General features: G+C 51.9%; 1 protein-coding gene and 1 long non-coding RNA gene across 20 annotated transcripts in view, besides 12 other annotated features; one reads left to right on the forward strand and one right to left on the reverse strand.

Annotated features, from left to right (window-relative positions):
• Positions 1 to 26,068, reverse strand: part of AKNA (AT-hook transcription factor) — a 67,969-nt gene extending 41,901 nt beyond the window's left edge. For 7 of the 19 annotated variants that reach the window (XR_929844.4, XM_047423924.1, XM_005252248.4 and 4 more), the window contains exons 1-4: positions 15,456 to 15,578; positions 8,656 to 9,042; positions 4,062 to 5,128; positions 1,689 to 1,763 (exon numbers count right to left, since the gene is read on the reverse strand). Coding sequence is in view for 18 of the 19 variants with exons in the window: in XM_047423924.1 (XP_047279880.1) it covers positions 1,689 to 1,763; positions 4,062 to 5,128; positions 8,656 to 8,929 (1,416 nt within the window). In the remaining variant the exon portion in view is untranslated. Of the gene's footprint in view, positions 1 to 1,688; positions 1,764 to 4,061; positions 5,129 to 6,357; positions 6,829 to 6,885; positions 7,441 to 8,655; positions 9,043 to 14,783; positions 14,990 to 15,455; positions 15,632 to 21,952; positions 22,007 to 24,320; positions 24,429 to 24,917; positions 25,570 to 26,035 lie in introns of those variants that run through there. The other 12 variants (XM_005252244.3, XM_047423922.1, XM_005252245.2 and 9 more) reach the window with 12 other exon arrangements.
• Positions 6,441 to 6,610: an enhancer, noted in NCBI's record as "experimental_106363 CRE fragment used in MPRA reporter constructs". NCBI's record gives its function as "activates a minimal promoter by MPRAs in K562 erythroleukemia cells, with activity observed for both the introgressed and non-introgressed 9:117141210 variant alleles {active_cell/tissue: K562}" and the evidence as "EXISTENCE:reporter gene assay evidence [ECO:0000049][PMID:34662402]".
• Positions 9,187 to 10,168: an enhancer, noted in NCBI's record as "H3K4me1 hESC enhancer chr9:117143871-117144852 (GRCh37/hg19 assembly coordinates)". NCBI's record gives its function as "activates a minimal SCP1, AML or CMV promoter by ChIP-STARR-seq in primed H9 embryonic stem cells {active_cell/tissue: H9 hESC(primed)}" and the evidence as "EXISTENCE:reporter gene assay evidence [ECO:0000049][PMID:30033119]".
• Positions 10,303 to 11,118: an enhancer, noted in NCBI's record as "H3K27ac-H3K4me1 hESC enhancer chr9:117144987-117145802 (GRCh37/hg19 assembly coordinates)". NCBI's record gives its function as "activates a minimal SCP1, AML or CMV promoter by ChIP-STARR-seq in naive H9 embryonic stem cells {active_cell/tissue: H9 hESC(naive)}" and the evidence as "EXISTENCE:reporter gene assay evidence [ECO:0000049][PMID:30033119]".
• Positions 13,151 to 13,220: an enhancer, noted in NCBI's record as "active region_28858". NCBI's record gives its function as "activates an Ori minimal core promoter by ATAC-STARR-seq in GM12878 lymphoblastoid cells {active_cell/tissue: GM12878}" and the evidence as "EXISTENCE:reporter gene assay evidence [ECO:0000049][PMID:35858748]".
• Positions 13,241 to 13,290: an enhancer, noted in NCBI's record as "active region_28859". NCBI's record gives its function as "activates an Ori minimal core promoter by ATAC-STARR-seq in GM12878 lymphoblastoid cells {active_cell/tissue: GM12878}" and the evidence as "EXISTENCE:reporter gene assay evidence [ECO:0000049][PMID:35858748]".
• Positions 13,411 to 13,470: an enhancer, noted in NCBI's record as "active region_28860". NCBI's record gives its function as "activates an Ori minimal core promoter by ATAC-STARR-seq in GM12878 lymphoblastoid cells {active_cell/tissue: GM12878}" and the evidence as "EXISTENCE:reporter gene assay evidence [ECO:0000049][PMID:35858748]".
• Positions 14,241 to 14,390: an enhancer, noted in NCBI's record as "active region_28861". NCBI's record gives its function as "activates an Ori minimal core promoter by ATAC-STARR-seq in GM12878 lymphoblastoid cells {active_cell/tissue: GM12878}" and the evidence as "EXISTENCE:reporter gene assay evidence [ECO:0000049][PMID:35858748]".
• Positions 15,205 to 15,940: an enhancer, noted in NCBI's record as "H3K27ac-H3K4me1 hESC enhancer chr9:117149889-117150624 (GRCh37/hg19 assembly coordinates)". NCBI's record gives its function as "activates a minimal SCP1, AML or CMV promoter by ChIP-STARR-seq in naive H9 embryonic stem cells {active_cell/tissue: H9 hESC(naive)}" and the evidence as "EXISTENCE:reporter gene assay evidence [ECO:0000049][PMID:30033119]".
• Positions 15,411 to 15,540: an enhancer, noted in NCBI's record as "active region_28862". NCBI's record gives its function as "activates an Ori minimal core promoter by ATAC-STARR-seq in GM12878 lymphoblastoid cells {active_cell/tissue: GM12878}" and the evidence as "EXISTENCE:reporter gene assay evidence [ECO:0000049][PMID:35858748]".
• Positions 15,581 to 15,870: an enhancer, noted in NCBI's record as "active region_28863". NCBI's record gives its function as "activates an Ori minimal core promoter by ATAC-STARR-seq in GM12878 lymphoblastoid cells {active_cell/tissue: GM12878}" and the evidence as "EXISTENCE:reporter gene assay evidence [ECO:0000049][PMID:35858748]".
• On the forward strand, positions 15,646 to 19,665 carry LOC124902253 (uncharacterized). Its single transcript, XR_007061742.1, has 3 exons — positions 15,646 to 15,849; positions 16,041 to 16,185; positions 18,439 to 19,665. It is a non-coding gene; the product is annotated as an uncharacterized LOC124902253 (long non-coding RNA).
• Positions 25,635 to 25,724: a silencer, noted in NCBI's record as "silent region_20210". NCBI's record gives its function as "represses an Ori minimal core promoter by ATAC-STARR-seq in GM12878 lymphoblastoid cells {active_cell/tissue: GM12878}" and the evidence as "EXISTENCE:reporter gene assay evidence [ECO:0000049][PMID:35858748]".
• Positions 26,035 to 26,334: a silencer, noted in NCBI's record as "silent region_20211". NCBI's record gives its function as "represses an Ori minimal core promoter by ATAC-STARR-seq in GM12878 lymphoblastoid cells {active_cell/tissue: GM12878}" and the evidence as "EXISTENCE:reporter gene assay evidence [ECO:0000049][PMID:35858748]".

Genomic DNA, 26,793 nt, shown 5'->3' on the forward strand with positions numbered 1-26,793 from the left:
TGTCCACCCCCGCCTGTCACTGTGGCTGGCACACAAGAGGCCTGGCAGTAAACACCTTTATAATATTCCCTAACTCTTACAAAGTGCCTGCCTAGTGCCAGGTAAATGCTTTCTGTATACTGACTCATGCCCTTAAACGAGTGCAGGAGGAAGGAAGGGAGGAGGGAGGGTGCAGACGCTCCACGCCTCCAGCCCCCGCCACTCCATGACCTTCAGAGGCCCCTATCCCAACGGGAGCCCCAGTTTCCCAATCTGCCAAATGGGGAAGCCCAAGTGTTTGGGTCTGATGACCAGTTCCTTTCTCCTTGGACCTACTTGGAGTCTGCAGCCATGGGAATGTGGTTTCCCCAGAGAGGATGACCTAACAAAGCCCCTTCCCTCCCTTTCCCAACTCCCCCGTCTCTTCCAACCCTGGATCTGGCTCAGTGGTTCAGAAAGCTGGAAGGAGCCTGCTTGGCTCCCAGGAGGAAGTCTGATTAGCCCCTCTTTTACAGATGTGCCCGATGAGGCCAAGAGGGAAGGGTCCTGCCTGTGCCAGGCAGCAGGTGTGGGGACGCAGCGGGGGGGGGGGGGGTCCTGGTCCTAGAACAGGCCCCCTTCCATTTCCTCACCACAGTGGCCTCCGCCCACCTGCCCCGGAAGTGCCTCTCGACATTGAGAGCAGCAGCTGTGGCAGGGGCAGGGTCCTGGAGCATGACAGGGGGAGGCACTGGGGCATCTGCATCTCTGCACCTCAGCTCCCACATCCTCCTCTACTGCTGCCTGATGAGGCAAGAGGAGGGCACAGCAAAAGCAGGAAGCCACGAGGGGCCGCACAGGTCCCACTTCCTGCCTCACTCAGAAAAGAGGAAGGTGCAGAATTCACAGCCTCCTCCGAAGACGGGGTGGGGGCTGGGGTGGTGGGTTCCCCCTCTGCTCTCCTCCTGCCCCATACTGCTGTTCAGGGGAGGGGAGAGGCTGTGGTGAGGTGGTGGGGAGGGAGAAAGGCAAAGGTGTGATCCAGGAAGATTCAGGCCCAAAAAACAAGCACCAGGGGCTGAGCAGAAATTCTGTGTTACTCTTTTGAGGCTCACAGAGCCCAAGTAACGTCCTTAAGGTCACACAGCTGGTTAGCAATGGAGCCAGGAGTCGAACCCAGGTGGTCTTACTCCAGAACCCATCTAGAAGGAGAGAGATTCTCATGAAATTCCTGGGCTCATGGTAGCTCAGGCCTGTAATCCCAGCAGCACTTTGGGAGGCTGAGGCAGGAGGATCACTTGAGCCCAGGAGTTCAAGACCAGCTTGGGCAACAAAGTAAGACCCCGTCTCTACAAAACATTGAAAAAAAAAAAATTAGCAGGGAATAGTGATGACTGCCTGCATTCCCAGCTACCAGGGAGGCTGAAGCAAGAGGATCCCTTGAGCCCAGGAGGTTGAGATTGCAGTAAGTTACGACCATGCCACTGCACTCCAGCCTAGGTGACAGAGCAAGACCCTGACTCAAAAAAAAAAAAAAAAAAAAAAGCCCAGGGAAGGCAAGGTCACTGCCCAAGGTCACAGAGGGACCTTGGGGTAGAAGAAAACTGGCGTTCCACTATCTCCAGGGCCTCAGTAGATGGAGGAGGCAGTGGCCTTTCTCTAGGACTATGGAAAAGTGTCACCTCCTCGGGGACTTGGGCCCATGCCTCCACCCCATCCCGGCCTGGTACCTTGGCCCCGAGGCGTAGCTGGTCAATGGTGTTCTCGGCCTCAGCGTACTTGGTGAGGAGCCTGTGGTAGTCTTCCTGCAGAAAGCGGGAGCAACACGGTCACATGCGCAGGCACACAATGAACCCCTCCTTGCTGGGAGACCCTGATAGCAAACCCCCTTCCATAAGGGCTTCTGGGTTCCTGAGAGGAAAGCATTCAATGGTGGGATCCGAGCTGAGCAATCTTCAGGCTTGTGTGCAACACAGACCCACCACGTTCAAGTTCTGGAGCATGAGAGGGCAGTGGGACAACTCTTCTACCCCCATGACAACGGGTCTAGACTGAGGGCCTCTGGCTGGTTTACCTTGATACATAACCCATGTCGCAGATGGCTGCCACTGTTTTATTTCTCCAAATGCCCTGCCCACCGGTTGGCTCTGTGGGGTGAGGCCCATATCTTTCTTTCCCCCTGCTGCACTGTCGGTGTTTAAGAAGCATGTGCTTAAGAAGTACCTGATTTTCAATGGCTAATTGAATGAATCACCCAAGAGTCCCATGGCAGAGAAATAGAAGACTTAAAATCACTGTTCCACCTACTCAGAGTCACTTATCTTAAACAAGTCCAAAGAACTTTATAAAAACAAGTCATTGCAGGAAAAAAGGAAAAGCATGTCACCTTTGAAGGATGTGAGGAACTGACTCCTTCTGAAAACGGGTCGGTAACTAAGTAAGTACCATTATGGGTCAGTAACGGTAACAGTAAAAGGACAGAACGGAACATCTCGCTGGCCCTTCCCATAGGAACAAGAACTTGGTAACCAAGTAGTTGATGAGGGACACTTTTACTTTTTAGCATATTTCCAGCAATTAATGCAGGAATGAGAGCATTAGCATACTACCACTTTGTCACCTCAAATGAAAGACTAGCCCAAGACAATGACCATCAGAGGCTGTCAAAATCACCAACAAGAGAGCAGCAGGCATCCTGTGCTTACTGAAGGAGGCACTCACGTGCTCTTGCCAAAACTCCCCACGCCCGTGGAGCTCATGGTCTGGAAGGGAAATGGTCATGTTTCTCCTCCAGACCACCAAAGCCTCTAGCTCAAAACCTAACAATATTCAAGAAAAAGAGGACAATGGGACGCATGAAAAGAGACCACAGCACATCAGCAAAGCCCAGACTGCGGACGACTCTGCAGGACAGACTGATTTCCGCAACAAATGAATTGCACGGCAGAAGTAAGAAGGAGGACGGACTAAGAGAGTAAAAGAGATCTGAAAAAGTAAATGCAAGAAAGAAAGAAAGAAAAAGACAAAGGGAGAGGACAGACTTGAAAGGCACCAAATGCAATATACAAGCCATGTTTGGATCCTGAGGCCCATGGACGGGAACGAATAAGCCATTTATGAGACACAGAGAGATCTGAATGCGGGTGTGATATTTGTTCATATTTAAGGACCTGGTGTTAACATTTAGGTGACCATGGTATGTGGTTATGTTTAATATAAGGTCTTTATCTTTAGACATACACACACTAACACATTTTTAGATAAAAGGATTGGATGCCTGAAATTTTGCTTCAAAATAATCTAGTGGGGGTGAATAGGGGAGAGGTAAGGCCACAGGCGAGAAAGGTTTTCGGGGCTGCTAATTGTGGATGCGGGGGGTAGGTACATGGGAGTGTATTCTACGATCTTCTCTCTTGTATATGTTTTAATTTTTTTATAGCAGAAGTTGAAAAGAAGCAAACAGATCATCCTTGAAACACGAGTACAATCACTGGTCTTTTTGAGCAAAGGGCTTGGGTGTATCTCAGGGCTCCAGGTACACCCTCCCTCCACCAGCAGGGAGTTCCTGGCCCAAACCCCAGGCCTCCCTACCGCAGCCAGCCTCTACCCCAGGGCTTCCTGCCCAAGCCAGCCTCCACCCCAGGCCTCCCCACCCCACCAGCCTCTATCCCAGGGCTCTCCACCTCAGCCAGCCTCCACCCCAGGCCTCCCCACCCCACCAGCCTCTATCCCAGGGCTTCCTACCCCAGCCAGCCTCCACCCCAGGCCTCCCCACCCCACCAGCCTCTATCCCAGGGCTTCCTACCCCAGCCAGCCTCCACCCCAGGCCTCCCCACCCCACCAGGCTCTACCCCAGGGCTCCCCACCCCAGGCCTCCCCACCCCACTGGCCTCCATCCCAGGGCTTCCCACCCTAGCCAGCCTCCACCCCAGGCCTCCCCACCCCACCAGCCTCCGTCCTAGGGCTTCCCACCCCAGCCAGGCTCTATCCCAGGCCTCTCCACCCCAGCCAGCCTCTACTCCAGGCCTCCCCACCCCAATTAGCCTCCACCCCAAGCCAACAGGGGCCTTGGTGACACATCCACAGCCATGAGTCCCACTAACCTGGAGCTGATGGACCAGCTCAGTGGCTTGCTCAGGCGTCTGAAATTCTTGGGGTACCCTGGTGATAGGGTGGGCAGGAGGCGTGTCCTTTGCCAGGGCTGCTTCTCCACTGCTCAACAGCACCTCCTGCACAATCTCAGCTGGAGACTTGAAGATGAGGGGCCTGGCAGGGGCCTGAGGCTTCCTGTTGTGGCTTCTGGACTTGGGGGGACGGTAGCTCTCATCTTTGGGGAATCTCACCCGGGGCCCTACCTTGGAGAAATCAGGGAGTGGGTAGTTCAACTGCCCCCGGCCATACTTGGGGGCATTAGAAGAGGAGCGGCCAGCCAGAGTGGCTCCCTGTCTGGGCAGCGGCCTGCCCTGCCGCGTTGGCCTGGGCTGGGGATTCAGGGGGCTGATGGAGCCAATGAATCGGGAAGGGAGTGGCTTAGGTGACGTCTTTGTCTGCTTCCAGATGTGTTCCTTGGGCTGAGGGCAGAAGAATCTGGTCGTTTCTCTCCTCCATCTATCTGTGGCATGCTGCGGACTCTGGGCTGGGGGAGCTGAGGAGTCCTGGAATTCCATGGGGGTTGCCCGAGCAACACTGCCTCCAGTTCTGCCATCTGGGCTTAGGAGGTGGTGGCTGGGGCCCTCTGGCAAGGTTTCTGCCAGGGCAGTGGGCTGGGGGCCATCGGTCTCTCCTTCCCAGGTAGAATCAAGGCTGTCACTAGGGTGGTCGAGGCTCACTGTCCCACTGCTCCAGGACCTTGCCGGGCTGAGTTCAACGGATGGGTTGACCTCGGAATGTTCAGAAAGTTTGTCCCCACTGGCTTGTTCGCCAGAAGCCACCCAGCCCCTGGCCTGACCATGCCCAAGAGCCATGGGGCTGGTGTTTCCATGGCCTTCCAAGCTGAGACCAGCCTCATACCCCAACCTTGAGGAGCTCTCTCCAGCCTCCTCAACCTCCAGACTTCCGAGGGTCCCATCTGGCTCCTCTTCAGTCATGTCCAGCTGACGGCCCTGCTGGGGGAGCCAGGCAAGAGGCTCATGGGAACTTGCTGGGCTGTCCACATCCTCTGCTTCAGCCTCTGGAAAGACAGGCCATTCACTTCTTAGCATATACCAGCTCTGCACCCACCTTGTAACTTACCCTAAGTCACTTCAACTCTCTGGCTTCCATTTCCTCATCACGTGGGGATGGAAAGAATCCCAAGGTGGTGGTAGACTTAGCCAAGTGCTTGTCTGATACCTGATCTGATTATCTCAGAGGTCCTTCAAACTCAAACTCAAACCCAAACCCGGTGGATGGTCCCTCCAGTGTCTCCCATCTCAGCAGACGGCAACACCATCCCCTCTATGCATACAGGCCAGAAGGCTGGGAGGCATCTTTGCCATCTCTCTCCCTCTAACCCCCTGAATCCATTCTGTCACTTGGTCCTGTCCAATGGGACCTCCTATAAAGATCGCAAACTCATCTACTGCTCTGAAGTCTACCACCACTACCTTAGCTCGCGTCCCATCCTCTCATCTGGCTAACTGCAGTCAGTAGCCACCTAACCATCTCCTCTATCCTCACCCACATCCCACATCTGAAAACTCATCCATGTCTTCCTGTGGAAGAAAAGCAGAACCTTCACTATGGTCCTAAGGTCGCTGCCACCCCGGCCCCATTAGCTCTCCTGATCCATCTCTCTCCATGGCCCCTCAAGCTCCCCCTGCTCCTGCTATGTGCACACAACGCTCCTCCCACCATGGGGGCTACGCATGTGCGCATCCCTCTGCCGAGGGATTCTCTCCCCTCCTTGGCCTAGTTAACTCCTATCTGTCCTTCAGGCGTTCGCTCAACCTCTGCCTCCTCAAGGAAGACTTAGCTCTCCCTGACTAGGTCAAGTTCTCCCTTTTACAGGCCCTCATAGGACTGGCTCCCTCTACTTTGTAACACTTATCATAGCAGCAGTTTTCCATTTATTTGTGCAGTTGTTTCATTGACATTTGTCTCGCCCACTACACTGCAAGTTCTATGAAGCCAAGGATGCTCTCTGTTTTGTTCATGATTATATTTGCAGTGCCGGTACCTGACACTATTTGTTGACTAAACAGAAGGAAGGAGAAAAGGGAGGTGAGTGAGGAAGAGAGGGAAGGAAGGAGGGAGAGAGGAAGATAAGGTATATAAAGCCCCCAGGAAATAGATAGTTATTGTAATTATTACATAGTGGGTACTCAAGAAATATTTATCCATCTACCCACCCATCTATCCCGCCATCCTTCCTCCCAACATCCATCCATCTACCCACCCATGCACCCATTCATCACCCACCTGTCCATTCATCCATGCATCTAACCACCATCCATGCAGTCATTGTTTATGGAGCACCCACTCTGCTCTAGACCCCGTGTTGACCTCAGGGATAAGTCCAAAGTTTCATGAGACATAGTTTGGGTACCACCAGGCATAGACTCTCTGTTCAGGCAGATGCACCTTTGTCGCACTCTCTGTTCCTCCATGCTCTTTCCCCTACCCTTGATGCCTCTACGTCTCTTAACCACTTAACATGTCCTTCAGCAAGTTACTCTTGCTTACAGCAGCATACTTGAAGCCCAGGGAGGTTACGTAAGTTGCCAAAGATCACCCAGTGGTTCCCTGGACCTAGGACCCAGGCCCCAGCCATGCAGGTGAGTTTGCTTCCACCACTAGGGGTCACGTACTAGGGGTGAAGGGGCCTGGGCTTTGGAGCTAGGGAGCCCTGGGTTCAATCCTGGCTCCTATCACCCCTCACTGGGGCCACGGGCAAGCTGCTGACCTCTCTGGCAATCCATAGTCAAACTTGAGGATAGTTCCTCCTACCTGACAGAGGGTGGTGAGGAGGGAACAAGAGAGGGCCAGACCCTGCCCAGCCCTGTGCCTGGCACATAGTAAAGGCACAGGACAAGGTAGCAGCTGTTACATCATAGCAGGGGGTTACCATGTGACCCCAGGAAGAGATGCCTCTGCCCTGTCGACCCAGTGCATCTCAGTCACCATCCCCTGCTGGAGAGAGAGCTCAGAAATGGCTCCTCAGTGGGCAGTGCCCACTTTGAGCAGATCAGGTGTGTGAAACTTTGAGTAATGGCACAATCCACTACCAGAGGAGGCTTCTCTACCAACCACACCAGCCTGCGGGAGTCACAGGACCCTAAAACAGGGGCATCTTGCTCATAATCTAAGTGCAATAGTTACCATATATTCAGCTCTTACTATTCTCCACGATATGATTCCTCTCATTTTATAGATGGAAAAAGCAAGATTCAGGCAGAAGGAACTTGCTAAGCAAAGCTAGGAATTCAGTCTAAGTTGGTCTGGATGCAACCAGAACACAGCTATTGTAGAAAACAAGAAATGCCAACGTTCCCATTGCTAATTGGGATTTTAAAAAACCTTAAAAATGTCCAGGCATGACGGCTCGCATCTGTAATCCCAGCATTTTGGGAGGCCAAGGTGAGAGGCTCACTTCAGGCCAGGAGTTTGAGACCAGCCTGGGCAACACTGTGAGACCCTGTCTCTACAAAAAATACAAAAATTAGCTGGGTGTGGTGGCATGCACCTGTAGTCCCAGCTCCTCGGGAGGCTGAGTTCTGAGGATTGATTGAGCCAGAAAGGTCGAGGCTGCAGTGAGCCATGATCATGCCACTGCACTCCAGCCTGGGCAACAGAGCAAGACTCTGCCTCACTAAAAAAAAAAAATAAAGTCAAAAATGGACATAACCCCGGGACTAAGTAATTCAAATTACCAAAGATATGATCAAATCAAGTGTGCAAAGATATATTAATGACATTCATCACTGCATTATTTATAACAGCAAAATCTAGAAACTACTAAAACGCCCAGCAGTAGGAGACTGGCCAATTAACCATGGAATATCCATGGAAGTCTAGGAATCACTTGTGGGAGAGGATTTGATGAACTACGAAAATGTTCACATCTATTAAGTTAACCAAAAAGCAGGTTACAAGGAAGCATGTAGAATACTGTTCCTTATTCACATTACATTTGCATATCTACACATATGGAAAACAGTGGTTATCAGGGGATGGAGTGGGACAATGAGTAATTTTAAATTTTACCTAATTTTGTGCTTATACTTTCCGGTTGTTCTGCAATGAATGGTATTATGTATACAATTTAAATCTTTAAAAATTTTTAATTACAGACTTTGTAGAATTTAATTGAAAATGCTGAAGCAGCGTCCACTCCCTTCCTCCCTGGAAGAATGTGTGATGGCCGGGCTTATGCCTGTAATCCCAGCACTTTGGGAGGCCGAGGCGGGCGGATCACGAGGTCAAGAGATTGAGACCATCCTGGCCAACATGGTGAAACCCCGTCTCTACTAAAAAAAGAAAAAAAAAAAAATACAACCGGGCATGGTGGCGCATGCCTGTAATCCCAGCTACTCGGGACGCTGAGGCAAGAGAATCGCTTGAACCCAGGAGGCAGAGGCTGTAGTGAGCCGAGATCGTGCCACTGCACTCCAGCCTGGCAATGAAGCAAGACTCTGTCTCAAAAAAAAAAAAAAAAAAAAGAACGTGTGATGTTTTGGGGACAGGACACCACTGTAGGGGGAGGGGTGTCAGTCTCACCTTCTCCCGAAGTCTCTCCTGACTCGGAATCCTGATGCCCATCGGGCTGCGGGTGTGGGTCCCACTCCAGGGGCGGCAGGTGCTGCTGGGCCAGGCGGAAGTCCTCTAGGAGCTCGGGGCTGGTGGCATTGGGAAAGAGTCTCTCTTCTTCCCAGCTTTGTGAACTACTTCTATCCACATCCCTCTTGTCCTCGGCCCAGGCCCAGCGCCGCCGCTGGGGGCCCTTCCCCAGGCCAGGCTCAGCCCAGCGGATCTCAGTCTCCGAGCTGGCCATTGGGGCTGGCCTGGGCTTCACCTGGGCCACTTCATCTTCAGGAGACAGAGCTGCTGCCAGGGGCCCCAGAGTCACCGCTGGTTCCTGTCAGCATCGGCCATCCTGCCTGTGCCCTGTCAGGGACACATTCAAGAGAGAACATTAATCAATCCTGATCCCCTCTTTTATTCGGAACAAGAAGTTACCAGCAGGAACTCTGGAATTAGCCCCAGTTCAACTCCTGGTTGTGTCCTCCCGAAGCTGTGTCACCTTGGGCAAGTCACTCTGCCTTCATTTTCTTCATCAATAAAGCTGGGATAATAATTCCTCTCTCTCTCCAGGGTTTTTTTTTTTTTTTTTTTTTTTGAGACACAGTCTCACTCTGTTGCCCAGGCTGGAGTGCAGTGGCACAATCTCGGCTCACTGCAACCTCCGTCTCCCAGGTTCAAGCAATTCTCCTGCCTCAGCCTCCTGAGTAGCTGGGACTACAGGTGCACGCCACCACACCCGGCTAATTTTTGTATTTTTTAGTTTCACTGTATTGGCGAGGCTGGTCTCGAACTCCTGACCTTGTGATCCACCCGCCTTGGCCTCCCAAAGTGCTGGGATTACAGGTGTGAGCCACCATGCCCGGCCCCCTCCAGGGTTTTATAAACTAGATGAGACACAGGATGAGGAGCCCAGTGGCCAGTGCACCAACGAACAGGTGTTGAATGCATGCTAGCTAGTGTTACTGCGTACTGGCTCTTCGTGTGGGCATGGGGCACAGGCCCTGCTCATGGGAGAACTGATGGCCCAGGAGGAAGCAGACGATCACCAGGCAACTACAAATCCAGGTGAGATGTGCTGGAGGAGGCACGGGGGCTGCCCTGACACAGGCCAGGGAAGTCTGGTGATCCCAGTTTAGAAGCCGGTTCCTCCAAGAATCCTCTCTGACCTCACTGGGGTAAGAATTCAGATTGAGAGGTGGGGGAGGATGATGAAAAAAGCATTCCAGGCCAGGTAGGAGAGCTCACGCCTATAATCCCAGCACTTTGGGAGGCTGAGGCGAGTGGATCACTTGAGTCTAGGAGTTCGAGACCAGCCTGGGCAACATGGTAAAACCTTGTCTCTACGAAAAATTAGCCAGGTGTAATTGTGCACACCTGCAGTCCCAGCTACTCCAGAGGTCGAGGTGGGAGGATCACTTAAGCCCGGGAGGTCGAAGCTGCAGTGAGCCATGACAGCGCCACTGCACTCCAGCCTGGGCAACAAAGTGAGACCCTGTCTCAAAAGGAAAAAAAAAAAAAAAAAGGTAGCATTCCTGTACCCAACATAATTGAAAAACAGGTGCTCAAATGAAAAGGCATGAAGTCCCAACACATGCTACAGTATAGATGAACCTCAAAAACATTATGCTAAGTGAAAGATGCGACAAAGGTCACATATAGTGTGATTCTATGGATAGGAAATATCCAGGCAAGGTAACTCCTTGGAGAGTGAAAGCAGGCTGGTATTTGCCAGGGGCTGGGGGAGAGGAGAGCGGGCACTAAATGCTTGCTGGGTATGGGATTTCCTTCTGAAGTGATGAAAATGTTTTGCAACTAGATGGAGGTGGCAGTTACACAACACTGTGAATATACTAAATGTCACTGAACTGTTTACCTAAAAATGGTTAGTTTTATGTTATGTGAATTTCACCTCAATTTAAAGAAAACGCCTTCCGAGTGAGGAGTGAGGCGAGCTGGGGGCGGGGAGCAAGCCTACCAGGGGCTTTCCTGGACCTGGGAGTGGTTTCGCCGCCGATGGCTGGGGTATTGAACACAGGGAAAGCCCATCAGAGGTGTGGTTTAAAAGTTCCCCTTGGGCTGCTCTGGGAGAATGAACCAGGGAGGCTGGCCACACGGGGGACCCGTCAGGCGGCTGCTGCAGGAACAGGGTAGCCAGAGAAGGGCTCCTCCGCTGCCTTCCCTCAACCCTCTCCTTCTTTCCCTCTTTCCTTCTCCCTCTCATCTCCTTTTGCCTCTTCCTTCTGACGCTCCTGCTATTTCCCTAAGCGCTTCCTCTATGCCAGCACTGAGCCAGGCCCAGGAAGTGCAAAGCTGACCCAGAGTGGGCACGGTCCCCCAGGGAGCTCCCTGCCATGGAGGGTTCAGAGAACTGCAGCCCATCAGTGCAGCGGCCCCCAGAGCAGCTCACACAAAGGCCTTCTTCCACAGATGGGGAAACTGGGATCCAGAGAGGGGAGAGGCCTTGCCTAAAGCCACACAGGGGTCAGGACAAGGCAGGGGTGAAAGTCAGCCTCCTGGCCCACAGTCTGGGCTTTCTCCCCTGCATGCTGTGTTGAAGGCAGTATGACTCCAGGCCTCCCAGGACAGAAGGTCTGTGTTTGTCCCTTTATCCTCATGAACACTTGGATCCTGCTTGATTTGTGTGGCTGAGAAAAGTCAGCAGGCAACTATTTTTGGACACAAAGTTCCCCAGGGAACAGTGCAGCCCGGGAAAGGCTGACTTCTCAAGGGCTGGAGGAGGGAGGTGCAGGGAATACCATTCTTCCCTCCTTGGCTGCGACTCCTGCTCTGTGGATGGGTGTTCGGGGCTTCTATCCTCTGTCCCCGCCCAGTCTTCCTCTCTACCCCCAAATGCAGAGCCCTACAATTTCCTCCAGATCACCCTGTGTATTGTCCTCCAGCCCCACAGTCCCTACCACATGTGAAGAGCCCACTCGGCGCCAGCCTGGGTTGAAGCTTTACTTTTAAATTCTCAATCTGCCCTCCTACAAACATGAGGGTAGAATTTGGCTAAGATCACCCAGCTACTTCCTGCCACAGCAAGATTTGCAACTGTCAATTCTGGCCTAGTGGTACCCCAATATTTTTTTAATCACACAATCCATCAGTAAAAATATATTTGCTCGAACACATCACGCTAATATATTACATGTATTGGAAAGAGTATTTTCAAAAGTGATCTTCTAAAAAGATGCAATCGAAAATGGGCCAGGTACAGCGGCTCACACCTGCAATCCCAGCACTTTGGGAGGCCGAGGTGGGCAGATCACTTGAGCTCAGGAGTTTGAGACCAGCTTGGGCAACGTGGCAAAAGCCTGTCTCTACTAAAAATAAAAAGGAAAAAGAAAATATATACAGGTGACCCTTAATGACAGTTTGAACCACACAGGTCTACCTATATGTGAATTTTCTTCTGCCTCTGCCACCCCTAAGACAGTAGATCAATCTCCCCCTTAACTCCTCCTCCTCAATGTGAAGATGACAAGGATGTAGGCCTTTATGATGATCCACTTCCACTTAATGAAAGTAAGTAGATTTTCTCTTCCTTATGATTTCCTTAATAACATTTTCTTTTCTCTGGCTTACTTTATTGTAAGAAAACAGTACATAATACATATAAGACAGAAAATATGCATTAACCAACTGTTTATGTTATCAGCAAAGCTTCCAGTCAATAGCAGGCTATTGATAAAGTTTTGGGGGAGTTAAAAGTTATAAGCAGATTTTTGACTGCATGAGGCACTCCTAACCCCTGTATTATTCAAGGATCAACTGTATTTTATTTTATTGAGACAGGGTCTCACTGTTACCCAGGCTGGAGTACAATGGCAATCAGAGCTCACTGTAGCCTTGACCACCTGGGCTCAAGCGATCCTCCCACCTCGGCCTCCTGAGTAGCTAAGACCACAGGTATGCGCCACCATGCCTGGCTAATTTTAAAAATTTTTTTTTGTCGAGATGGGGTTTTGCCACGTTGCCCAGGCTGGTTTTGAACTCCTTGTTTCAAATGATCCTCCTGCCTCGGCCTCCCTATGTGCTGGGATTACAAGCATGAGCCACCCACCCAGCTGGTCAACTATATTTTAAATAGAAGCTCTAATCCTTGCTTCTCATACCTTCTGCAGGGCCTGTACCCTTCTTGGAAATCCCTGCCAGGGATCTTAAGCTTCAGTGTGCTTAAGAATCCTCTAAGCGTGCAGTTTCCTGAAACAACCTGCAGAGAGCCTGACTCAGTGGCCCTGGGATAGGGCCCAGGAATCTGCATTTTAAACCAGGGCCTCAGGCAGGGCCTGCCCTTTGAAGTTCACTAGGCCTCCTGGCTCCTGCTGTTATGGCAGGTGGAGAAGAGGCTACAATTTAGCTGTTGCTTTTCTGATTCTGAAGCCTCTGCTGAGGAAGGGGCCGGGGGAGGTGTGCGGTTTTTTGACTTTTTAAAGGGCTTTTTTTCTAGCTCTGCCACAGAGCAGCCTGCCCAATCACAGAGCCCTCTGGGTGCACAAAGAGGAACATCCTGTCTTCTGGGATGACTCAGTCGTGGCAGAAATCTCACTGTAACCAGGGGAAGGTGCACGTCAGAGGCAGCTGCAGTGACTGACTAGAGTTTCGCACTTGCCCCCAGGCGCCTAAACCAGTGAGCCTTTCCTGAGCCAGGCCTCTGCCTTCCATGCGAGCCATGGCCCTCCTCACCACAAAGCCCCAGAACTGGCCAGTCAGCTAGTCAGTCAACAAACACACGTTAGTGCCAACTACCTGCCAACCTCAGGCTGGGACGATGCTGTGATAGAGAAGCAGGCTGGGCATCAGGAGACAGGTGCTAGTCCTGGCTGCTGTTACTCACTGTGTATAGCTGGGCTTGCATTTTCCTCACTGTAAAATAGAGAAAGTACCACCTGCTCTTGATATCGCAAGGGGATATCACCCTGCTAGGGTGGGTTGGGAGGCAGGGTATGGGACTCAAAGAGCTTTGAAGTCCCTGATTGACTCAGCTTCTAAGGGCAACAGCCTCAGAACTGTTAACCTCTCTCCTCCTCCCTGAGGTCACATTTCAAAGTACAAAGATACATACTGAGCACCCAGTGGGCGCAAATTAACTTTTTAAAAAAGCCCTATGACTTCCTACTATATACCAGGCGCTACGTAAGATGCAAAGAATATAGAAAAGAGTAAAAGTGTTCCAAGATTTTAAACGGTGGGGGGTAGTACAATACAGAAGTGTTACCAAAGGAAGCTTTAAGGTGGGCTTGAGAAACAATGAGGATTTGGGGGAGAAGACTGGGGAGGGCATTCCAGGCAGCGGGAACAGCACGGAGGCAAAGGCACGTAGGTCTGAAAGTATGGCCTGACCTTGAAGGAGAGCTATGGGCAGGTGTCCCTGCATGCCAGATAAAGGCAGAGTTGTTCCAGCCAGCCCTCGTTAGGGCAGCAGGGCTGCTCCTAAAAGGCAGTGAGTGGGGTTTGGTGAAGACTCCAGCAGTGTGAGCTGGGGAGGGCTATGGAGTTCAGGGTCCCCGCCATCCCTGGAGAAACTGGCCCCACAAGGAAGTAGCAGCCACTGCACCCTCCTTCTGCACATCTCCTTCTTACACCCAAGCCGCCACTGCCCCTGCTCTCTCAAGGGTCTAACAGACCCCTGAGGTGTCTATCTTCAGTTCCTGGGTGGGATGGACTCTTCTTCCCCACCACCCACACAGGGCTTCTCCGCCCGCTCAGTCATTCCACAGCCAGGGACCCTTCCCTTTATGGCTCAATCCCTCAGAACTGCCCAGACGCCCAGGCTCTCCTTTGCCAGCACAGCTACGCAGCCCGCACAGCCTCCCCGTGCCCTCTGCAGCCCCTTCCCATCCAGCCAGAGCTGTCCAGGGTGCCACCCTGCTTCTACCCCCACCCACACCCTGACACCTCCCAGATGAAGACACTGAGGCACAGAGACATGGCCTGCTCTCACAAGACCTCACAGCCAGGAAGCGCAGACAGAGGATTCAAAGCTGGGGTACCGCAACTCTGAAACCAAGGCTGTCAGATGTGTCAGGGAGATGGGGAAGGAAGACCACCCCCCAAATCAGTAACCAGACCTTCCAAAAAGGCTCAACCATACCCCCACCCACCTGCTGGCAGGGCACAGACTTGCTGTTCTCAAGGGGTTCCCACCAGCTGTGTGGACTCTAGTCCCACAAGGAAGCACCAGCCACTCCCTCTCTGTGTCCTCCCTGCCCCCAGCCCGCTCCAGCAGCAGAGGCCGAGGAGAAAGAGAAACGGTGCCCTGGCTGTTGCCAGCTCTGGTCTTGCCATCCTCAAGAGCTGAGCTGGGTCTGCTGGTCCTCGGACTGTCCTTGGCTCCTCTCCTTGCTCTTACGCAGCTGGCATAAGGGGCCACTCCTTCAATAGGGACCACCCCCCGGCGCCGTCGCTGCCTCCTGGCCTGCTGCCCATGCCTGCATCGTCTCTGAGACCCCTTAGCAACCAAGGACACTAACTCTCCAGGTGCAGACGACGACACCCCAGGCACAGAGATGGACCCGCCTACCCAAGTTCACAAGAGATCAGAATCAGAGCTAGGACTGGAATCTAGCATCCTGAGGCTTGACGAAATCCTCCTTAAATCCACCCTTGCCCTGGAGGCCGGGATCCCCTAAGCCAAGAGAAAAGCGGTGCAGCTCCAGCAGCTGCAACTTCCTGGCTGGGCTGGTCCGGCTGCCTGGACTGTCCCGGAGAGTCTGTGACTGGCCCGTCCAGAAGGAAAGCGGCCTCCCGGGCCCTCCTCCGTTCCAATCCCTTACCTCTCTCGGGCTCCACCACCGTCCTGCCGACCCAGTTTCAGGGGACCTGCCTGTGAATTCTTTGTTCCAAACCCAGGGAGCCCCCTGTCTCCATTGCGCCCTGGCCCACCTCCAGGCCGTTCTGCCAGCCCAAGCTGCTGCTCACAGACCAGCATCGCTCCCCACCTCTCCCCGCCCCTGCCGTGGTTGAGGCCGCCTCGCCTCGGCAGGAAGCGCCCAGCCTGATTTCCTACAAGTGTTTGTCAGAAGGAGGGGGTTTGTCTGCGTGCAGAGCAAGAGCTGGAGGAGCTTAACCCCTTGCAAGCCCTCCGCAGTCAGCGCTGCCCAGGAAAGGACTCAGGGAACAAACTCCTGACGTCCTGGGCTTGGGATCATCTCAGCCCAGGCCCTGCAGGTACAGATGGGGAGACTAAAGCACAGAGAAGGTCAGAGGCTTGGCCAAGGTCACACAGCATGCTGTAGCTCCTACCCTCTAGGCCCTCTTCAACCACGGCCTGACCTTAGCCGAGGCTCCTTCCCTCACTAGGCCTCAGGGCCCATGTGCACGGTGAGAGCTCAGACTCAACACCACTCCTGCCCTTCCAGCTCTGACTCTGCCAATGTGCAACCTGAATCTCAGGGAGACCGTGGTGATTCCTGCCATCTCAACCCACCGTCCTCACCCCGAGGTGGTCCTGCAGCCAGAGTGGGATGTTCGGGGCAGCATGGAGGTGTGAACCTGGCGGATCAGGTAAACTTTCCCTTGTTGTAAGAACCCTCCAAGGGTTCACCAGATGTTGGGAACAGATCGATCCTGATGGTCAGTCGAGCTATCTTTCCTCAAGCCCCACCATCCCATTCCTTCATTCGTAGGTACTCACTGAGCTCCTACTGTGTGGCGGGTGCTTTTAAATCACCTGGGAATATGGCAGGGCCGAAGACAGGCCAGTCCCCTGCTCTCCACTCTAGCAGAGACATGGACAATAAGCAAGCACATGTATAATTTCAAGGAGAGAGCTGTGAACAATGAGACTGGGTGACGATCCGTGTCCCAGGCCAGGTGGCACTGAAGCCTGGGGCTCACCCCAGGCCAACAGAGTCAGTCTCTGGGCATCAGACATTTTAAGTGTCCCAGGTGACTGGCCCTGGTAGAGAACACATGGGGCCAAGAGTAATGGGTTGGAGGAGAAGGGTTATAGGACGGTCAGGAAGGTCTCTATGAGGAGGTGACATTCAAATAAGGCACTGGAAGGAAGAGGGGTCAAAAGCAAGCCACAAGAAGGTTTGGGGCAGAGTGTTCTGGGAGGGCAAGTGGAAAGGCCAAGGTGGGGGAGCCAGCGGGCTTTCCCTGAGAACAGCAAGGCCTGTGTACCCGGGGCAGAGCGAGTCAAGCGGGAGAAGCAGGAGCTTCACAGAAAAGCGGGCACAGGAGCACAAGAGGCTCCCAACACTGGCCCCACCCAGGACCCAGAGACTCTGAGTCAGGAAACAAAAAGAAAGAGGAAAAAAAACAGGCCTCTGTATTGTCCAAAAAGCCCTCCAGGTAATTCTGATAAGCAGCCAGATTTGGGAACCACCCATGTAGGAGAGAAAAAAATCTCAGAGTCACTGTGGACCTGGGTTCAAATCCCAGCCCCATCTCCTGCTGGCCCTGACCTTTGAGGCTTCACGTCTCTAAGCCTCAGTTTCTTCATCTGTAAAACAGGGATAAGAAGAGTAGCCACCCCACAGGGGCTGCTATAAAGATTCAATGACATGATGCCTACCAAGGGTAGAGCGGGGGAGCCAGAACACAGTCATGTATTGAGCTATTTTATTATTGCTACTACAACTATTGCTGCTACTTAGGTATAAGTCTCTGGTCTCCTCTAAAGGCTAGATCTTAATATCTTTCCTGAAGCCTGGCACACTGTTTATGGCTGATGAATGTGTTCTGTGAATGAATGAATGAATGAATGAGTGGACGTTCCCAAGGTCAGCTTGTGAATATCTGGCGTAGCCAGGGCTAGAACCAGGAGCCCTCATCCTGGTAATCGCCCACCCCTCTATCCCCTTTCCTGCCTTTTACCCACATCTGGGTGGCAGGGCTCTCCCTGTAGCCCCCAGCCCCACATGGAGCAGAGCCAAACCCTAATGAGGCCCCTCCCTATCAGCTCTGGAGGCCATGTGTGCCATTGTGCAAGGGGCGGGCTCCCCTGACACCCTGTCACTCACTCACCCTCCCTCCCTGGTCATTAACCCAGGCAGCATTAACCCAGGTGGCTGCCATTGCTGGGCATAGCCTGTGGCCCCTGGATAACCCCAAACCCATCTCAGGGGCAGCCACCTAACACCAAGGAGAACCGCCTGCAGTGCAGTCTGTTCCATTTCCTTGCACCCCCAAGCATGACCAACCCTCCTCCCTGCCTTTGCTCATGCACTGCCCCCTCTTGGATCACTGTCCCCACCCACAGGCCAAATTCTACCAAACCGAAGCAGCATGTCTAAGACTGAGCTCCTAGTATTGCCACCCTCCAAACCCACCCCTCCTTAGTTTGGCCCATCTTTCACCCAGGTACACACTGAGAATCAACTGTGACCCTGGACACTTCCTTTTCCCTTACATCCCATAACCAATCCATCGTCAACTCCCAGTGATTTCATTTCCTAAATTTCACCAGAATCTGTCCCCGTTTCTGCATCCCCACGTGGGTCCCTGGATCGGCCTTGCCTGGAAAGCTCTAGGGTCCACTAATCTGTTCCCCACACTGCACCGATGTGGTCTTCCAAGATAAAAGTTCCAAACAAGACCCTTCCATGCTTCAGACGCACAGCTAGCTACTATGGCTCTGAGAAAGAAGATGAAACTCCACAAGCTGGCCGCTGCTGCAGCCTCTTCTCCCACCACCCTCTCTGCCCTTGCTCAGCATGCTCCTGCCATACAGGCCTCCTTGCTTTTCCTGGGACAGATGTGTCCTGCTCCTCCCCTCACCCAGTCCCACTTCTTTTCCCTGTTAACTTCTAGGCAACCTCCAGATGTCAGCTCCAGCGTGCCCTCCTTGGGGACTCCCCATTTGGAACTATATTTCATATGTGATTATTTGATTAACATCTGTCTCTTCACTCAGTTGGGAGCTCTGTGAGGCTCTCATCATCATATCCCCAGGACCCAGCACACAGGCCCTGATATACAATAGAAATACAATAAATATATCCTGGATGATCCACTCAACCTAGCTACTTGCCCAAGCCTGACTCATAGCCCTCATAACAACCCAATGAGGCTGATGTGACAACCCCATTTCACAGTTGGGTAAACAGAGGCCCCTAGAGCCCAAGCAGCTTGCCCAAGGTCACAAAGGTGATGAGCTGCAGTAGAGTTTCAAACACACAAAGACCTGGCTTCTAATAACCAAGCTTGGTGCTCACAACATTGCAGCCCGCAGAGATAATTAATACCTGTGCACAATAAAATCGAGAGTGGAGCTTCTTACCAACTAATTGCAATTCACAAAGCCAATGTTCCAATTTTATAGTGAGGCCCTGGTTCCACACAGAGCCTTTTGGTTTCCCAAAATGCTTTCTTCTCCTTTATAGCACTAGATGCTCAAGAACAGAACGTTTAAGTGGGGAGAACACGAGTATTATTCCATTGTATAGGTGAGGACACTGAGGCCCAGAGAAGAGAAGAGAAGAGATTCGTTCCTGGTCACCCAGAAAAGAAACAACAACAAAAACCTCTGACTCCTGGCCAGGTGCAGTGGCTCACGCCTGTAATCCCAGCACTTTGGGAGGCTGAGGTGGGCGGATCACCTGAGGTCAGGAGTTCGACACCAGCCTGGGCAACATGATGAAACCCCACCTCTACTAAAAATACAAAAATTAGCCAGGTGTGGTGGCAGGTGCCTGTAATCCTCCCTGTAATACTTGGGAGGCTGAGGCAGGACAATCACTTGAACCTGGGAGGCGGAGGTTGCAGTGAGTCGAGATTGCACCATTGCACTCCAGCCTGGGCAACAGAGCAAGACTCTGTCTCAAAAAAAAAAAAAAAAAAAAACACCAAAAACAAAAACAACAAAAAAAACCTCTTACTCCTACTGCCAGGGCTTGATGACTTTCACCCTTTTACCAGCAACAGTCATGTGCATGGCTGTGTCTGCAGAACCCTGCCAGCCCTTCCCACGAGCCTGAGGCACAAGAATCACTTGAACCTGGGAGGCGGAGGTTGCAGTGAACCGAGATCATGTCACTGCGCTCCAGCCTGGGCAACAGAGTAAGACGCTTGTCAAAAAAAAAAAAAAAAAAATCCACAGGGAGTCTGAGGGAAAGAGGAGGCAGGTGAGGATTTCCAGAGTGAACCAAGAAGAAATGATGAAGCCTGGCTAGGGAAGTAGAGAACCAAGTTCCAGCCTGAGTGACCAGGAATAAGCACCTTCCTTTCTCTGAGCTTTGGAACCTGCGGCTTAATGAGATTGTCTCTGAGGTTATCAGAGATTATCTTCTAATGCTAAACCTCCTGGATTCTTTATTCCATTTGCCCACCCAGGCAGAAATGCCATGCAGACAGGAGGCTGCAGAGCACAGGTGTTAAGGCACATGGGCTTTGTGGGCAAACAGAGAACTCCATGTTCTCCCTTGGAAGCTGTGTGGCCTTGGGCAAGCTGCTTAACCTCTCTGAATCCCAGATTCCACATCTGTAACATGGACCAATAATTATTTTACTGGGTTCTTGGGATGACGGATGAGACTATGTGCCAAAAGTTCTTGGCCCCAGTGCCCAGCTGGCACAGAATGACTGTTCACAAATAAATGGCCTTGCCTTTTCCGTGAAACGCCCTACAACCTGCTCCCTGCAGGACTGAGTTTAATTTTCCTCATCCACAGCTTCCACAATATCAACCCCAGGTCTAGCGATGAGTCCTGGACACAAAAAGGGAGAAGCAGTTTTCCCAAGTGGAGGGAGGTGCTGACATTTCCCTGTGACCCTCTTCCCTGCGACCCTTAAACCAGTTCCAGGGCTCACTGACCCAGCTAGAAACTCTGTCCTCACTCTGAGTAGTTAAGGAGCAGAACAAACAGCCCCTTCTCAGCCAACTGAGATAAGGGTTATGAGGAGGGTGTGGCCATATTGAGGAAAACACATACATAAATTCAAATTCATGCTCTTTTCAAAGAGTCAAACAAACCGTGCACGTGCCAGGAAGGGACTGCTAACAGCAAAACTATACTGAACACCTATTATGTGTCAAATACCTTATAAAAGCCTTTCCATGGACTCAGATCTCATTATTTAATCCTCATACTAATCCAAGGAGGGAAAAATTATGATGCCCATTTTATTTTATAGGTGAGGAAGCTGGTTTGAACCAAGCTGTTTGAATCTGGACAGTATAATCTTTTTTTTTTTTTTTTTTTGGAGATGGAGTCTCGCTCTGTTGCCCAGGCTGGAGGGCAGTGGCGCGATCTCAGCTCACTGCAAGCTCCGCCTCCCGGGTTCATGCCATTCTCCTGCCTCAGCCTCCTGAGTAGCTGCAATTACAGGCACCTGCCACCACGCCCAGCTAATTTTTTTTTTTTTTTTGTATTTTTAGTAGAGACAGGGTTTCACTGTGTTAGCCAGGATGGTCTCGATCTCCTGACCTCGTGATCCACCCGCCTCGGCCTCCCAAAGTGCTGGGATTACAGGCGTGAGCCACCGTGCCCGGCCCTGGACAGTGTGATCTTAATCACTTTGCAACTGAAACTTGCAATAGGTAAAATGGTTGGAAACAATAGCAGTGTCCCGTAACAGGTGATCATTGAAAGAAATTGTGATAGTTCCACTCAAAGGAATAATATTAGCTGCCGTTAACAGTCATGCTATTGAAGAATATCAAATAATGTAAAAATTTTGTTATGTTAAGTGGACAAGCCAGTTATAAAATAATATATATCTAGTTTGAGTCCACTTAAAAAAAAAAACAGTAAAATATGGAGGAAGAGGAGGAGGAAGAAAGGAAGGAGACAGGATAGGAAAAAGAAAGAGAGAGAAAGCAAAAGAAAGAGAAAGACATGCTTTAAAATGTTTACAACAGGCCATGCGCCGTGGCTCACACCTGTAATCCCAGCATTTTGGGAGGCTGAGGCGGGAGGATCACCTGAGGTCAGGAGTTCGAGACCAGCCTGGTCAACATGGCGAAACCCCGTCTCTACTAAAAATACAAAAATTAGCTGGGTGTGGTGACGTGCACCTGTAATCCCAGCTACTCGGGAGACTGAGGCAGGAGAACTGCCTCAACCTGGGAGGCAGAGGTTGCAGTGAGCCAAGATCGTGCCACCCCACTCCAGCCTAGGCGATGACAGTGAAACTGTCTCAATTAAAAAAAAAAAAAGTTTACAATCATTATCACTAGGTAGTAGAATTATAGGCAAGTTTTTTTGATAGGGAAGTTTACCATTTTTCCTTTTGGGTATTTTTCAAATATAACAGTTGCTTTAAAAATAAGAATGAAATGAACATGTACTATTCTTAAAAACAAAACAAACGAATACCACCTCACCTCTGTGTGGTGCTTCCTTCTGACCTTGGGCACCTCCGTCTTCAGTTGCCCCTCCTGTGAAAGGCGAAATGTATCGTTGGGTTCTTTGAGGCCCTTTACAGCTCTGACATCCTATAACATTCTGTAACCCCCACACCTTCTCCTCCTCTGTTTAAACTCTAATACAATATGTTGTTTTCTGCAATACAGCCATTATGCAACATGTGGGAACACATGAAAATCACTAAAAGGAAAGGAAGCAATCAGCGCCCAGCCTCAGCCACTTTTTGCATTTGGAGGCATGGCATGTGTTGCTGGATTGGATCCTCATAAATAATTAGGCATTTAACAGATGAAGAAAGGTTCAGAGAGGTTACACAACTTGCCCAAAGTCACACAGCATGTTAAGGCACAGTTGGGTCTGTACCCACAAATAAAGCATTATCCTCCAGATGAATCCTTAGTGGGGGACTGAGTGTGCCTCTTAGACCCTGAGACCTCCCCTCCTCAGTCCTGGTCCTTGGCTGTGGTCCCAAGACCCCGAGGAGACTGACAGCTGGACATCCCACTCTGGCCCTGATCCCAGGCTCCTTCCCCAGAAAAAGCTGAGCTGGCAGTGGGGGGGCTGGGGGGAGAATGCTGGCAAGGACCTAGGGGCTGGTGTGGGAGCGGCACTGGGCGCAGAAGGTCTCACTCGGCAATGGAGCTGGAGTTCGCCTGACATTTGGCAAGGAAGCCCAGAGCCAAGATGGAACAGCAAGCTGGGGTGCAGGAGGGAGGGAGGAGTGAGAATGTGAGACTTTGGGGGCAGGAAGCCTGGGTAGATCAGCCCTTTGCTGTTTTGTTTCAGAACTTCTCTGATATCCTCATCTACAGACAGAGGCTTCTCCTTCCCTCAGGCATGCATGTGTAAAGTAACAAGATAATGTGTTTGTACGCAGGACACACTCAGAAAATGAGGAGCTTCTGTTAGCCTCCTGGCTCCCCTGGCCAACTGCCGCACCTCTTCCCTATCACCCACCCTGACTTACCCCCCAATCCCTTGGCACAATGACAAATCTTAGGGCACCATCCTGTCAGGTTTTTCCCCTGCTTAACGACCATCCGTGGCTCCTGTCACTTTCAGGTTAAAGGCCAGACATTTTGGCCTGGAATTCAGGCTCATACCAACCTGTTCCCAAGTCAGGGGCTGCTGCACTGCATAACTCACACCGTACACTACAAAAGCCATCTCATAAAGGGTTTCTTCCCAAATCGCATACTTTAGGGGAGCTGCAGTGGGGCGCAGGCCTTCTGGCCTGGCTCCACTTGGCTCTGCCAAAAAGCCCCCAACTCCAGGCTGCCAAGCAGAAGCAAGGCTGGTCTTCCATCCCCCAACACCCTTCACCTGCAGCTGTCTTTAAAAAAAAAAAAAAAAAAAAAAAAGTAAGAAAAAGCCCTGATTTGTGGTGGTTACTAATTTTGATGGTGTTAAATACCCTTACTGAAATTGGCCATGCCAATTTCAAGCTATTGATATCACTGAATGCTGCACTGGGAAGAGATGGGCACAATCCACTCTCCCGAGCTGACACCAGCACACCCTGCACACCCCAAAGTAAGGATGCGCTAACACCAGTGAGAAGCTGTGTGACTCTCGTCAAGTGGCTTTACCTCTCTGAACCTCAGGCTTTCTATCTGTACAAGAGGGACAACAATAACACCCACTTCGACAACATCACGTAACTGATATAATCTAGATGATCAACAACAATGTTTTGAGCACCTACTCTGTGTAGGGCTCTGTACTAGGTAGACACTAGGGAATAACAATGGTGACAAAACAGATAAGAGCTCCTGCCCTCCCAAACCTCACTTCTTGCAGTAAAAGCCCTGGCACAGCGGCTAGAATGTCGCACTCAATAAATATTACCTATGATATTAGCTAATAATACCAATGGTATTATTGTTGTCATTATTCCTTCCTTTCTTTGAGCCTCAGTTTCCTCATTTATTTAGAATGTGGACTGAGCAAAAGTTTCTTATGATGCCACCTCACTCAAGCCTTAAAATGGTGGTAAAGTAGATGGGCGCGGTGGCTCACGCCTGTAATCCCAGCACTTCAGGAGGCCGAGGTGGGAGGATCATGAGGTCAGGAAATCGAGACCATCCCGGCCAACATGGTGAAACCCCATCTCTACTAAAAATACAAAAATTAGCCAGGTGTAGTGGCACACGCCTGTGATCCCAGCTACTCAGGAGGCTGAGGCAGGAGAATCGCTTGAACCTGGGCGGCAGATGTTCCCGTGAGCCGAGATCGCGCCACTGCACTCCAGCCTGGAGACAGAGCTAGACTCCATCTCAAAAAAAAAAAGAAAAAAAAAATGGTGGTAAAGTGGGCATTACCAACCTCATTTTGTGGAAGGGAAAACTGAGGCACTCAGAACTGAATCCAGGCTGGGGATCTAAACTCAGGTCTTCTTACTCCTGGTCTCCAGATCATTCCCACCTTCCAGGACTGAGGAAACATAAAAAGGACCAGGAATTCGACTGGGGATGTGAATGCTTTAAAAATACTTTTCCTTCTCCACGCCCCCACGGGGGGAAACTGAAGTGTCCATGTTGTGCACCAATTTCCAAAACACCCTCTCAGTATGACGGCCCTGTAGCTGGGACCATTCCCAGTCTCTCTGGAAACCCCTATCCTAGCGCCTCTGGCAGAGTCTGCAGGACGGTGGGAGCTGATGAAATCCCCTTGCAACAAACAGCCCCAATCACATGTTTTAAATGCAAACCGGCTGGACTTTAGGAGGCAAAGGCCCCACGTGGACATCGCCTCCCTCCTGCAGAAGAACTGTGAGACGACTGCCCCAGGAATAAACCCAGAGTCCCAAAACACCATAGGTTCCGCTCCCCTGTTTGTTAGTAAGTAAACCAGACTTAGGCCCTCTCTAACAGATGGGCAGCCATTGTTTTATTAACAAAACAGCCCCCAAATAAAACCCACCAATTCCAGAGAAGGCGCCTGGAAAAGTCGTTTGGGAAGTCCCTGTATGTATCTAACTTTAGTCTTTCATGCTTCAGTTCCAGCCCATTTCTTCTCCTTCTGTTCTAGAGGACAGGAACAATGTCTCTTTTCACTGCAGCCTGTCTCAGCTTCTCTCTGCTCCAACATAGCCCAGGTTTGTTATCAGCAATTTTCCCTTCCGACTATCTCAGAAGCAGGTCTTTAAACATAGGTAATGATGGACTCCAATCCGTCATTTCTTTCAACAAAAGCCCGGGAAAGGAGCTTTGGAAGTGTCGTCTAAGGTCACGCAGCAAGCAGACTCTGGTTCTGCCTGTGCCAGCCCCATCACACTGGGGAGAGCCCAGCTCTGCGCCTCCCTGCTGTGCACCCTTGGGCCAGTCGCGCCCCCTCTCTGGACCTCATTCTCCTCCGCAGGTGTACCAAGAGGGAACTGGACTTATTTTTGCAGCCCGTTCAGTTCCTACCATTGTCAGGGCTGCCTACCCGACACTGGCCCTTGTTCTACCTTCCCCCCCGCGACAAAAAGAGGAAAAGAAACTTGCGTTAGGCGTCCGGGAAGCGCGCGCGGCTCCGAGGGCCGCCAGGCTGCGCGGATTGTTGCTGGGTGAACGAATCTCACACAAATCCCAGACAGAAAGCCTCACCTCCCCAGTAACCACAGCAACCCGGGCCACGCCTCCAGCCCAAACACAGCCCGAGGCCCCGCCAAGGCCCACCCCCGAGCTCCCCCGGGACCCCTCCCCTCCCTGCCACCAGCCCCAGCTGGAAAGAGAAAAAGCCAACGCCCCCATTGTGCAGAGGTGGAGACTGAGGCCGGAGGGTGGAGACTGAGGAACCCCGCGGCCGGCACGGTTTGGACTGGGGCCCATACCGCCCGTCCAGGGCTCCCTCCCATTCCCGGAGCGGTGATGCGTCTCCTTCCCCGTGCGCGTGGGGTTTCCACGTGGAAAAGACCGAAAGCAGCGCCGTCCCAGTGGAACGGAGCCCACTGGCGCTGTCCACTCTCCCTCCCCATTCTCCCGACGGAGAAACTGAGTCCCAACGAGGGACAGGGACCACCCCGGACGCCCCGCGAGCCCCTCCCCGAGTCTCACCTGCTGGCGGCCGCCGAGCGCGGGTGGTTTCCTGGAGTTGAGCGGCAAACAAAGGCCTCCAATCCGGGCGCGGGGCGGGGCGGTGGCTCCTTTGCATAATCCCTGAGGCCCGCCCGCGACAGCAGGGGGCGGCCCGGGGGGGGCGGGGCCTCTGGGAGCGCACCAATCACCGAAAGGCCGCCGCCACGGCCCGCCCCCAGGAACTCGGACATAGGGAGCGCAAACCCTGCTGCAGGATGAAAATCTCAGACCTGGGAGGCTGTGTGTGCCTACTGCAATCAGCCCCACCGCAGACCCGGAGATCGAGGCCCGGTCTGCGGAGGGTAAGGCATTTACGCAAGATCGCACAGAGTGGCTCACGCCTGTAATCCCAGCACTTTGGGAGGCCGGGCAGATCACCTGAGGTCAGGAGTTCGAGACTAGCCTGGCCAACATGGTGACCGTCCCCCCACCCCCACCAGTCTCTACTAAAACTACAAAAATTAGCTGGGCGTGGTGGCGCATATCTGTAATCCCAGCTACTTGGGAGGCTGAGGCACGAGAATCGCTTGAACTTGGGAGGCGGAGGTTGCGGTGAGCCAAGATTGCGTCACTGCACTCCAGCCTGGGCGACAGAGCAAGGCTCCATCAAAAAAAAAAAAAGAAAGAAAAAAGAAAAAAGAAAAAAAAAAGATCGCACAGAGCCACAGTGAGGAGGAAATCACAAACTTCCATGGCTGAAACGGCCTGCTTAGTAACAGTAATAATAAACTTTTCTT

This window comes from Homo sapiens, chromosome 9, assembly GCF_000001405.40.
Source record: "Homo sapiens chromosome 9, GRCh38.p14 Primary Assembly".
Taxonomy (NCBI): domain Eukaryota; kingdom Metazoa; phylum Chordata; class Mammalia; order Primates; family Hominidae; genus Homo; species Homo sapiens.